General features: G+C 45.1%; 1 annotated feature.

Annotated features, from left to right (window-relative positions):
• Positions 12,756 to 12,805: an enhancer, noted in NCBI's record as "active region_2644". NCBI's record gives its function as "activates an Ori minimal core promoter by ATAC-STARR-seq in GM12878 lymphoblastoid cells {active_cell/tissue: GM12878}" and the evidence as "EXISTENCE:reporter gene assay evidence [ECO:0000049][PMID:35858748]".

Below are 13,038 nucleotides of genomic sequence, written 5' to 3'. Positions count from 1 at the left end.
AGTGAGACTCCATCTCAAAAAAAAAAAAAAAGAAAAAGACGGGCACAACACTACATTGAGATTTTGTTCCATCAGAACTTCCTCTGGCCACAGAGTCAAGTCATTTGTAAACCATCATCACTTGTGCAAATCTGAAAACTGGGGACTCTGCAGAGGATGACAAAGGACACCGGATGTGGACAGAGGAAGTTGTGATGAAGTAAAAAAAAATCCCTCAGTGAAATCAACCAAAGTGTCCATTTCTACTTTGATAATGTTACATGAGAGTGGAAATGCAACTTATTTTATAGGAATACTAATTTTGCAATGAGTTTGCTAAGGTGTATGCCCTGCCCACTGCTGATGGACCAGGGTTGGGGATCTGGTCCTGAGACCAGCCAGTCCACTGGATAAACTGTGCCCTAGATGCCCTCCCTTGAACACTTTCACTCAGGTCTGCCATCATTCTGTGGATAAGAGGGACAGAGAGATGCCTTTTTTTTTTTTTTGACAGAGTCTTACTCTGTCGCCCAGGCTGGAGTGCAGTGGCACGATCTCGGCTCACTGCAACCTCCACCTACCGGGTTCAAGCAATTCTCCTGCTTCAGCCTCCCAAGTAGCTGGGATTACAGGCACGCACCACCATGCCAGGCTAATTTTTGTATTTTTAGTAAAGACAGGGTTTCACCATGTTGGTCAGGCTGGTCTCGAGCTCCTGATCTCATGATCCACCCACCTTGGCCTCCCAAAGTGCTGGGATTACAGGTGTGAGCCACTGCGCCCGGCTGAGAGATGCCTTTTAAGAGAAAGCTAGGCAGAAGACACTGCTCAGGAGAGATGAGTGGAGAGAGGTGGAGCTGAAGGAACCTGAAGTACAGAAAGCAGAGGGGAGCCTCCTTTTCTGTCCCACCGTGGTCCCCTAAGGCGCATCCTTTCGCCCTGTTTCCTGCTCTTTGAATCCAGCAATCCAAGATTGCCTGCTGTGTCCTAGTAATGCCCACTGCTGGCCCCACCCTCTCTGACCTGAGCTAGCTCAAGTGGATACCTGTTCATTGTAACCCCTCACCTTGCCCGGAGCAGCATCTTGTCCTTACCCGGGGAGCAGTCCAGCCACCCCGTCCCTGGGCTGCCGAGCACCTGGAGAAACAGCAGCCAGAAGACTGGACCCCACTACTGTTCATATCCCTGTCTGCATGGATTGAAACTCTGTTTTATTCACTGCTGTGGTTCTAGCCCCTAGTGCAATTCCTGCCACATAGTGAGCACTCAAGACAGTGTTTGAATGAATGAAATGCATTGCTTCAACCTCTGCTGGGCTATCTGAGCTCTCTGTCTTCTCTCAGCACTTTTCACCTGTCTTTGCTTAAGTCCTGTTTGTTTCCTGCCCTGGCTCTTCCACTTGCTCAAGTTACCCTCCTGCTGCCTCTCTCTTCAGCAGTAATAGCTAACGTTTACTGAGTGCATATTGTGGACTGGGCACTGTTCTAAGTGTTTTTACATGTGTGAAATCCTTTAATCCTCTTGAAACCTATGAAACAAATCCTATTATCACTCCTATCTTACAGATGAGAAAGCTGAGGCATGGAGACTAAGTGACTTGTCCAAGGTCACAAAATAGCAATAATGAGGACTCAAACTAGACAGTCTGGCTCTAGTCAACATCCTTAACCCCTCATTAGCTTCGTGATAATAAAACCCAGCAGTGCTCAGCAGCCTAACTAAAAGAGCAGAGAAAACTCTTTCTTCATTAGAAGAGAACAAGACTATTCTTTATAAAATGTTTGTGAAAAGGAGTGATTGGTCTCTAGTTTGGGTGCCTAGCACAAGTCACCACCCCCTGGTTCACCAAGAAAACTGAGGGAATTAGGTATGAATTCTGCAGACCCTCCTGCCTGCAGACATCTTTGTCAGACCATTCTGCTGCCTTCCTCCTGTCTCAGAGAACTGGGTCTGCCCTTGCTTTAGCTCTTGATCTAGGTCCCTCCTGACTGTTTTGGGGGTTGCCTCGTTAGATGCACCCATCAGGGTCCTGGCAGAAGAGAGGTGGTGCACTCAAAACTTGGGCTGCCGAGCACCGTCAGAGTTTAAGCAGGGTTCGATGAAGAGCCCACCCACAGGGTGTAAGCAGAACAGGACAGGGTGTGTGGGCACAGGCAATAGCAAGGACCCACAAGGGGGGTAAACGGTGACCCTGGGGCCTGGCACAAGTGGGCTCTGTGGAGAGTGGGGGCCTGGGAGTGAGGTGGAGTAGAGTTGTATTTGACAGCAACAAGCCTTGCCGCTCTCTCTCCTGCCCATCCGTGGTGCAGAGGCTCCTGGAAGCTGGAGGGCAGTGGAGGCTGCCTGATGGAGTCTCCTGGAACACGGAGCAGTTGTGGAGAAGTGAGGGTCTTGGGTACACGGAGCATAGCCAGCGCATGGCTTCCCCGTCCTGTGTGCTCAGCCTCCCCTTCTCTGTTAGAATGCTGTCTTCTCTCCTCTGCTGACCCACATCTCCCCTTCCTTCCAGGGACAATTAATCTACAGAATAGTTTCTAATAATCGTCTCCACTTCCTTACTACCTATTAACTTTATTTATTTATTTATTTATTTATTTATTTATTTATTTATTGAGACGGAGTCTTGCTCTGTCGCTTAGGCTGGAGTGCCATGGCACGATCTCAGCTCACTGCAACCTCCGCCTCCCAGGATCAAGCAATTCTCCTGGGATTATGGCCAAACCCCATCTCTACTAAAAATACAAAAATTAGCTGAGTGTGGTGGCGGGTGCCTGTAATCCCAGCTACTCAGGAGAATGAGGCAGGGAGAATTAATTTAACCCAGGAGGCGGAGGTTGCAGTGAGCTGACATTGCACCACTGCACTCCAGCCTGGGCAATAGGGTGAGACTCTGTCTTCAAAAAAAAAAAAAATTGATGCAGAAGAACAATTTTTTTTTTTCTGGAGACGAAATCTCACTGTCGCCCAGGCTGGAGTGCAATGGTGCCATCTCGGCTCACTGCAACCTCCATCTCCCAGGTTCAAGTGATTCTCCTGCCTCAGCCTCCCGAGTAGCTGGGATTACAGGCATGCACCACCATGCCTGGCTAATTTTTGTTCTTTTAGTAGAGACGGGGTTTCACCATGTTGACCAGACTGGTCTCAAACTCCTGACCTCAGGTGATCCGCCTGCCTCAGCCTCCCAAAGTGCTGGGATTACAGGCGTGAGCCACTGTGCCTGGCCAACTTTTTAAAATCCTTATTGCGTTTTAGATTACAAGTACAACATTAAGTTATGTAAAATTTGAACACTACAGGCCGGTCGTGGTGGCTCATGCCCCTAGCACTTTGGGAGGCCTAGGCAGGCGGATCACCAGAGGTCAGGAGTTCGAGACCAGCCTGGCCAACATGGTGAAACCCCGTCTCTACTAAAAATATTAGCCAGGCATGGTGGCAGATGCCTGTAATCCCAGCTACTCGGGAGCTGAGGCAGGAGAATCGCTTGAATCCGGGAGGCGGAGGTTGCAGTGAGCCGAATTGTGCCACTGCACTCCACTCTGGGTGACAGAGCAAGACTCTGTCGCAAAAAAAAAAAAAAAAAAAAAGGCGCAGTGGTTCACACCTGTAATCCCAGCACTTTGGGAGGCCAAGGTGGGCGGATCACGAGGTCAGGAGATTGAGACCATCCTGGCTAACACGGTGAAACCCCGTCTCTACTAAAAATACAAAAAATTAGCTGGGCGTGGTGGCGGGTGCCTGTAGTCCCAGCTACTCGGGAGGCTGAGGCAGGAGAATGGCGTGAACCCGGGAGGTGGAGCTTGCAATGAGCCGAGATCGTGCCACTGCACTCCAGCCTGGGTGACAGAGTAAGACTCTGTCAAAAAAAAACAAAAACAAAAACAAAAAACTACAAAAGTATATAATATATAAAGGAGAGTCTTCCATTGAATTAACCCATACATACACTAGAAACCACCGCTGTCAAGAGTATGGTGCATGTTTGTCTAACTTGTAAAAAGTATATGTATGATCCGAATGACTGAAATAAAAAATAATGACACCATTAAATGCTGGTGAGGATAGAGAGAACTTTGATCACTCACATATTGCCAGTAGGAAAATAAAATGGCATGGCCACTCTAGCAAAGAATATGACTGCTTCTTACAATATTAAATATGCACCTGCCATATGATGCAGCAATTACACTCCTGGGCATCTACCCAGAGAAATGAAAGTTTTTATGTTCCTGGTCATAACTGTTCACAATAGCTTTATTCCTAATTGCCCCAAACTGGAAACAACTGAAATGTCCTTTAATGGTGGAAGGTTCAATAAACTATGGTACATTCATACCATGGAATACTACTCAGCAATAAAAGGGAAGGAATTATTGATACACATGACGATCTGGATGGATCTCCAGAGAATTTTGCTGAGTGAAAAAAGCCAATCTCAAGTTGCATACTGTGTGATTCGTTTTAGATAATATTCTTGAAACAATAAATGTATAGAGATAGAAAACAGATCAGGGGTCAGGTAGAAGGGAAGAGTGACTGTGGCCATAAAAAGGTAGCATAAGGGGTCTGTGTGGTGGAACTGTTCTTCATCTTGAGTTTGGTGGTGGTCACGTGAATCCACACATGTAAACTTGCTTAGAACCAAATACACACACATGAGTGGCTGGGTATGGTGGCTCATGCCTGTAATCCCAGCACTTTGGGAGGCTGAGGCAGGCATATCACTTGAGGTCAGAAGTTCAAGACCAGCCTGGCCAACATGGTGAAACCCCATCTCTACTAAAAATACTAAAATTAGCTGAGTGTGATGGCACATGCCTGTAATCCCAGCTACGCAGGAGACTGAGGCTGGAGAATCACTTGAACCCTGGAGGTGGAGGTTGCAGTGAGCCGAGATCGCGCCACTGCACTCCAGCATGGGCAGCAGAGTGAGACTCCATCTCAAAAAAAAAAAGAACTAAATACTAAAAAACTAAAAATTGATGACATCTGAGTAATGGCGAAGGGTTCTATCAATGTCAGTTTCCTGGCTGTGATATTGTACAATAGTTATATAAGATGTTACCATTGGGGGGAAATGGGTGAAGGGTACGCAGGATCTCTCTGCATATTTCTTTTTTCAATAAATTTTATTGAGATAAAATTCACGTAATATTTACCTTTTTAATGTGTAAAATTTAGTGGTTTTTAACATATTTACAAAGTTGTGCAACTTCAGCACTATCTAATTTTAGAACCTCTTCATCACCCCCAAAAGAAACCCTGTATCCATTATTAGTTACTCCCTGTTCCCCTCTCCCCCAGCTCCTGGCAGCCACTAATCTACTTTCTGTCTCTGGATTTGCCTACTCTAGATATTTCATATTAATGGAATCATACAATATGTGGCCTTGTGTCTGGCTTCTGTCACTTAGCACAAGGTTTTCAAAATCCATCTATTAATATTTTATAAAATGTGTCTGCACTTCATTTCTTTTTACAGCCAAATAATACTTCATTGTATGGGTCTACTTCTGCATTTTATTTATCATATTCATAAGTTGATGGACATTTGGGTTGTTTCTACTTCTTGGCTACTATGAATAATGCTGCTGTGGACATTCATGTACTAGTTTTTGTGTGAACATGTGTTTTTAATTCTCTTAGGTATTTATACCTAGGAGTGGAATTGCGGAGTCATATAGTAACTGTATGTTTAACTTTCTTTTTCTTTTTTTTTTTTTTTTGAGATGGAGTCTCACTCTGTCGCCCAGGCTGGAGTGCAGTGGCGTGATCTCGGCTCACTACAACCTCTGCCTCCCGGGTTCAAGCGATTCTCCTGCCTCAGCCTGAGGCCTGAGTAGCTGGGATTACAGGTGCACGCCACCACGCCCAGCTAATTTTTGTATTTTTAGTAGAGACGGGGTTTCACCGTGTTGGTCAGGCTGGTCTCGAACTCCTGACGTCGTGATCCACCTGCCTTGGCCTCCCAAAGTGCTGGGATTACAGGCGTGAGCCATCGTGCCCGGCCCTCTGTGTTTAACTTTCTAAGGAATCACCAAGCTTTTTTCAAAGGGGTGGCACTGTTTTGCATTTCCATAAGCAATGTCTGAGGGGTCTGATTTCTCCACATCCTTACCAACATTTGTTATTGTCTGGTTTTTTTTTTTTTTTAATTACAGCCATCCTAGTAAGTGTGAAATTGTAAGACATTGTGATTCTATATTATCTCCCTTTTTTTTTTTTTTTTTTTTGAGATAGGGTCTTGCTCTGTCACCCAAACTGGAGTGCAGTGGTGTGATCACAGCCCACTGAAGCCTCAACCTCCCAGGCTCAAGTGATCTTCCTATCTCAGCCTCCCAAGTAGCTAGGGCTACAGGCATGTACCACCATGCTTGGCTAATTATTTTCTTTTTTATAGAGACAGGATTGTACTGTCTCTTATAATTGCATGTAAATTGGCCTGGCACAGTGGCTCACACCTCTATTCCCAGCACTTTGGGAGGCCAAGGTGGGTGGATCACTTGAGGTCAGGAGTTCGAGACCAGCCTGGCCAACATGGTGAAACCTGTCTCTACTAAAAATACAAAAATTAGCTGGGCTCAGTGGCACATGCCTGTAATCCTAGCTATTTGGGAGGCTGAGGCAGGAGAATCACTTGAACCCGAGAGGCGGAGGTTGCAGTGAGCCGAGATCGTGCCACTGCACTCCAGCCTGGGCAACAACAGTGAAACTCCGTCTCAAAAAAATTGAGCCACCACACCCAGATAAATTTTGTATTTTTAGTAGACACGGGGTTTCACCATGTTGGCCAGACTAGTCTTGAACTCCTGACTTTGTGATCCACCCGCCTCCGTCTCCCAAAGTGCTGGGATTACAGGCATGAGCCACTGCACCCGGCCTACCTGGTGTTTGTTAAATGAACACTTGGGTGAACTGAAAACACCCAGTGATGCTCCAGAAAGGAGCACAAGTGCAGTAGGAAGGGGAGGAGTTTTTCCTATTGGCAAGAGGCCTCATGGAGACTACATCATGGTAGAATTGGTAGAATTGGAACTGCTCTGTGAGCAGCAGAAAGAAGGAAAGTGAGAAAGGAAGAGGGAAAAACCTTGGGGCTATTCCCTGGGAGTCTTAGAGCCAGCAGGAGATTCTTCTTTCACTGCTGCCCACAGGCAAAGAGGGAAGTAAAAAGGTGAAGGAAGATACAGAGAGCTCCTCTGTCTCTGCTGTGCCTCCTTTGCTGAATTCAGCACCTACATGCTAAATGCAAAAGCCCTTTATTTACTCAAAAGAAGTTTGGACTCAATGGTCCCAAATGCTTGGCACCTCTTTCCTCCTCAGGTAGGATGAGAATCCCTCTGAACAAAGCTGGATAATGGCTTTACTATGTCCATGGAAATTTTCCCCCTGGGAATAATGCCTTTCTCAATTATATGGGCATTTTCAGTGTACACCTCTTTGGAAAAGGTCAAGAACAAGCCATATAAATACAATCTTTTCTAATTATACATTTATATTTGGGTAAAAGTTCTTTCATAGTAGGGATCAAAGAGAATATAGAACTTAAAGACAGAGAGAACTCTCCAGAAGAAAGTCTGAACTTACCTAACAAAAAGTTAGATGAACAGCATTGGTTGTTTTTTTTCCTTTTTTTGCTTATATATATTATATGCCTTACAATGAATATGTCTTACTTTCCTAATAAGAGAAAAAAGCAATACGTTTATTTAAACCCTAAGAATTGCTGCCGGGCGTGGTGGTTCACACCTGTAATCCCAACACTTCGGGAGGCCGAGGTGGATCGTTTGAGGCCAGGAGTTCATAACCAGCCTGGGGAACATAGTGAGACCCCGCATCTACAAAAAAAAAAACAAAGAAAGAAAAGAAAAAAACCTATAAAAATCCGGGTGTGGTGGCACACACCTGTGGTGCCAGCTACTCGGGAAGCTGTGGTTGGACGATCACTTGAGCCAGGGTCGAGGCTGCAGTGAGCTATGATCATGCCAGTGCACTCCAGCCTGGGCAACAGACAGAGACCCTGTCTTAAAAAAATAAAATAAATAAAATAAAATAAGATAAAAAAGAATTGCTCATTAGCGGACATGGAGTAAAGGTTATCAGAAGAAAAAGCAGAAGGGCTGAGGCCATCTTGCTCAGATTGGAGGCTTATAGGATAAGGGAGCATATTTGTTTCCTATGCTGCATAACGTATTACGACAAATGCACTAGTTTAAAACAACTTCCCTTTATTATCCCACACCCTGTGAGTCAGGGGCCTGGGCATAGTGCAGGCCGCAAGGCTGTCATCATGGTGTCGGCCGTGGCTCAGCTCCATCTGGAGGCCTGACTAGTGACAGATCTGCTGCCAAACTCATTCGGGTTGTTGGCAGAATTTGGTTCCTTGCTGCTGTAAGACCAAGGGCCTGGATTTTTGCTGACTGTTAGCTGCCCTTAGCTCTATGAGGCTGCTCACAGTTCCTGGCCATGTGGACCTCTTGATAGGTCCTCTTACAAAATAGCAGCTTGCTTCCTCAAAGCCACTAAGGGAGGAACAGAGCTAGTGGGGTAGAATTGTATATAATGTAATCTAATCACAGACTAACAGCCCATCACCTTTGCCATATTCTGTTGGTTAGAAGTAGTCTTAGATTGGGAGGCTGAGGCAAAAGGATTGCTTGAGCCCAGGAGTTAGAGGCTGTAGTGGGCTATAATTGCATCTGTGAACAGCAACTGCACTCTAGCCAAGGCAACACAGTGAGACCCCATCTCTTTAAAAAAAAAAAAAAAAAAAAAAAAAAAAAAAGAAAGAAAAAAACAAGAAAAAAAAAGAAGCAGTCACTGGACCCACCCACACTCAAAGGGAGGGAATTATATGATTATACAAAGGTGTGAGTTACTAGGAGGTGGAGATCATGGGGACCACTTTAGAGTCTGTTCCTTAAAGGGAGCTCAGAAATTCTTTTGGGATCCATATCCCCTTGTCATTCAGCATTCCAGTACATTCCAGTGGCTGTCCTACTGCAAGCACCTGGGATTCTTCACCTGACAGTTTTCCTTCCACCTGAGACACAGACATGCTGAAGGGTTACTGACCCTACGAGCAGGCCTCAGCCAATGATGGATGGAAACCGGAGGCTCCCCATCTTCCTCACCTCTTGGGTAGGAAAGCTCAGAGGCATGTTCTGCACTGTCTCCCAGGGTCCCCAGTAGGACTGAACCCCAGCTGCAGTTACACAGAAGCAACTTGCTTAATAATGTTCCTTTTCTTGGCTTCCTTCCCTTTCCTGCCTTACTTCCCCACTCTAGTCTTCCCGCAATCACCTCTTAAACAAACTAGTTGAATCTAGAAACAGAAAGTAGAGTGATTGCTAGGGGGTAGGGGAAGGAGGGAATGGGGAGTTATTTGGTTTAAGGTATACGGTTCAGTTTTACAGGATGAAAAGTGTTATAGAGATGGATGATGGTGATGACTGCACAACATTGTGAATGTGTTTAATATCACTGAATTGGACACTAACACTTATTAAGATGGGGCCGGGCACGACAGCTCACGCCTGTAATCCCAGCACTTTGAGAGGCCTAGGCGGGCAGATCATCAAGTCAGGAGTTCGAGACCAGCCTGACCAACATGGTGAAACCCCGTCTGTACTAAAAATACAAAAATTAGCGGGGTGTGGTGGCACATGCCTGTAATCTCAGCTACTCAGGAGGCTGAGGCAGGAGAATCGCTTGAACACGGGAGGCAGAGGTTTCAGTGAGCCAAGATCATGCTACTGTACTCCAGCCTGGGTGACAGAGCGAAACTGCATCTCAAAAAAAAAAAAAAAAAAAAAAACCAAACAAAAAAAACAACTTATTAAGATGGTAAATTGTATGTTACATGTATTTTCCACAATTTAAAAAAATGAAACAAAACGAAATATACAGAACAAAACTAGTCGCACTCAAATCCTGCCTTAAGGTGTGATTCTGGGACAACCTAACCTAAGGTAATAGGAATCTATATTAATTTTGGGTAGCAGAGAAAAAAAGCACTTACAAGCTGAGTTTAGGGTTATTTATACATGGCATCCAACTAAAAGAAACCTGAAATCAGCAAAGACTAGAAATGAGAAAAAGAGTCTAGCAGGTCTGGGGAGGAAAATGAAGAATCAGACACCATCTTCAACAAGTTAGTCAAATGTGACTAACCTGGGAATGGTTAAATTTCCCAGCTATAGATAGGTAATATCCTAAGATTCCTCACAGTGTAATAAAGCAGATTTTTTGCATCCTAAACCTGAACGTAGCAATTTGGACATGTCACAGAGGCAGGGCACAGAAGAGGCAGCCAGACTTCAGCCCTCCAGCGATTAGTAAGTAGAAGTGACCAGCAGTTTTGGGCTGCCCAGCACCTATTGCCACTATCTTGTTAATTGTACCCTGTTTTTCCTTGAATGTCTCCAAGATACCTCAAAATCAGTAAGTCGAAAACCAAACTCATGATTCTCCCTGCCAGACCCAGGCTTCTTTGAGCATTCCATAGGTCAAGATGGTGCCATCATCCATCTATGTAGGCAAGCCAAATATGATGGCCCCAGACTGGTTCCCTTCTCTCCTTCCCTGTATACAATCCGTCACCAAGTCCTGCAATTTTACTTCCTCAATTTCTTATGGGTTTTTGTTTTGTTTTGTTTTGTTTTTGTTGTTGTTGTTTTTTTTTTTTTAGATGGAGTTTTGCTCTGTCACCCAGGCTGGAGTGCAGTGGCATGATCTCGGCTCCCTGCAACTTCCTCCTCCTGGGTTTAAGCCATTCTCATGCCTCAGCCTCCCAGGTAGCTGGGATTACAGGCATGCACCACCACACCCAGCCAAGTTTTTCTTTCTTTTTTTTTTTTTTTTTTTGCATTCTTAATGGAGATGTGGTTTCTTCATGTTGGCCAGGCTGGTCTCAAACTCCTGATCTCAGGTGAACCACCCGTCTCGGCTTCCCAAAGTGCTGGGATTACAGGTGTGAGCCATGGTGCCAGGCCTACTTCCTCAATTTCTGTTAAACTCATCAATTTCTCTCTGTATCCACCACTATGACTACTCCAGTCCAAGTCCCTGCCATCTCAGCTTCCAAAATAGTTTCCCAGCTGTGTCACTCAGTAACAGGGCAATCCCTGTGTGATGGTTAATTTTAGGCATCAACTTGACTGGATTAAGGGATACTGAGCTGGTGAAGCATTATTTCTGGGTATGTTGGTGAGGGTATTTCCATAAGAGATGGGCATTTGAATCAGTGGACTGAGTAAAGAAAATCCACTCTCACCCAATGTGGCTGGGCACCATCCAATCCTTTGACGGCCTGAATAGAACCAAAAGGTATAAGACAGGCAAATTCTCACTTTCTCACTCCTGAAACTGGGACACCCTCTTCTCCTGCCCTTGGATGTCAGAACTCCAGGTTCTCTGGTTCTTTGGACCCTGGAACTTGCACCAGCAGCCAGTCTGTTTCTCAGGCCTCTTGCTTTGGACTCAGAATTACACTGTCAGATTCCCTGGTTCTCTAGCTTGCAGACAGCATATAGTGAGACTTCTCAGCCTCCATAATCATGTGAGCCAATTCCTATAATAAATCTTCTCTCGGCTGGGCGCGGTGGCTCACACCTGTAATCCTAGCACTTTGGGAGGCCAAGGCGGGCGGATCACCTGTGGTCAGGAGTTTGAGAGCAACCTGGCCAACATGGTGAAACCCCATCTCTACTAACTACAAAAATTAGCCTGCGTGACGGCAGGCACCTGTAATCCCAGCTACTCGGGAGGCTGAGGCAGGAGAATCGCTTGAACCTGGGAGGCAGAATTTGCAGCGAGCTGAGATCGTGCCACTGCACTCCAGCCTGGGTGACAGAGTGAGACTGTCTCAAAAAAAAAAAAAATGAAAAATAAATCTTATCTTCTATCTATCTATCTATCTATCTATCTATCTATCTATCTATCTATCATCTATAATAAATCATCTCTCATCTCTGTCATCTATCTATCCATCCATCCATCTCTCTCTTTCTCCTATTGATTCTCTGTCTCTCTGGAGAAGCCTAATACACTCTGGGCATACAAAGCCCTCCTGACACCCCCTCAGTTTCTTCTTAGGGAACTGCCCCTGGCCACACTTCCCAACCTCAGGACTCCTACACATTCTCACAGTCCATGTACCTCATTGTTTTTAGCGTTCAGTCATAGTTGTAACATAAAACATTTGTAAATATATTTTTATTGTGAGAACGTTCAGTATAACGAAATACAGAGAACAACATATCAAGCACCTATGTAGTCATAACCCAGAATTAACAATATTAACACATGTTAACTTTCTGCCATATTTATTTCAAATTTCGTTTTACGTTTAAAAGAAATCAAACATAAAACAGATGTGGTTAAAATCCACTTGAACAGTATTTCCCTTCTCCTCCACTTCTGTTCTCTCTCCCTCTTCAGAGGAACTAGCAACAAGAATTTCAATGTATTTCTTTCTCATTCATGTTTTTATGCTTTTAATAGATAAGGTGTATTTTCAAAACCATTGGTTGTTCCTATTGTTTTTTGGTTGTTGTTGAGACAGAGTCTCGCTCTGTCGCCCAGGCTGGAGTGCAGTGGCGCTATCTCAGTTCACTGCAACCTCTGCCTCTTGGGTTTGAGCGATTTTCCTGACTCAGCCTCCTGAGTAGCTGGGACTATGGGCACGCACCACCACGCCTGGCTAATTTTTGTATTTTTAGTAGAGACGGGGTTTCACCATGTTGCCCAGACTGGTCTTGAACTCTTGAGCTCAGGTGATCTGCCTGTCTCGGCCTCCCAAAGTGCTGGGAATACAGGCGTGAGCTACCGCACCTGGCCTATTCCTACAGTTTCTAAAAGCAGATATAATTAGTTTTAATTTAAACCACTTTGATTTCATTCAAGCCGAGAATATCTTGGTCCTCAGATGGTGGATTCAGAAGGGAACCAAAGAGGGTTTTCATTCTGTCTCATCGTGGAGAAACAGCAGCAAGAACAACCAGCTCATCTTTCTTCTTCTTCCACTTCCCCCCAAGTACCAGAGGGGAGCTGGGGCCAGCAATA

Source organism: Homo sapiens, chromosome 1 (genome assembly GCF_000001405.40).
Source record: "Homo sapiens chromosome 1, GRCh38.p14 Primary Assembly".
Taxonomy (NCBI): Eukaryota; Metazoa; Chordata; class Mammalia; order Primates; family Hominidae; genus Homo; species Homo sapiens.
This window is presented reverse-complemented; position numbering and strand designations above follow the sequence as displayed.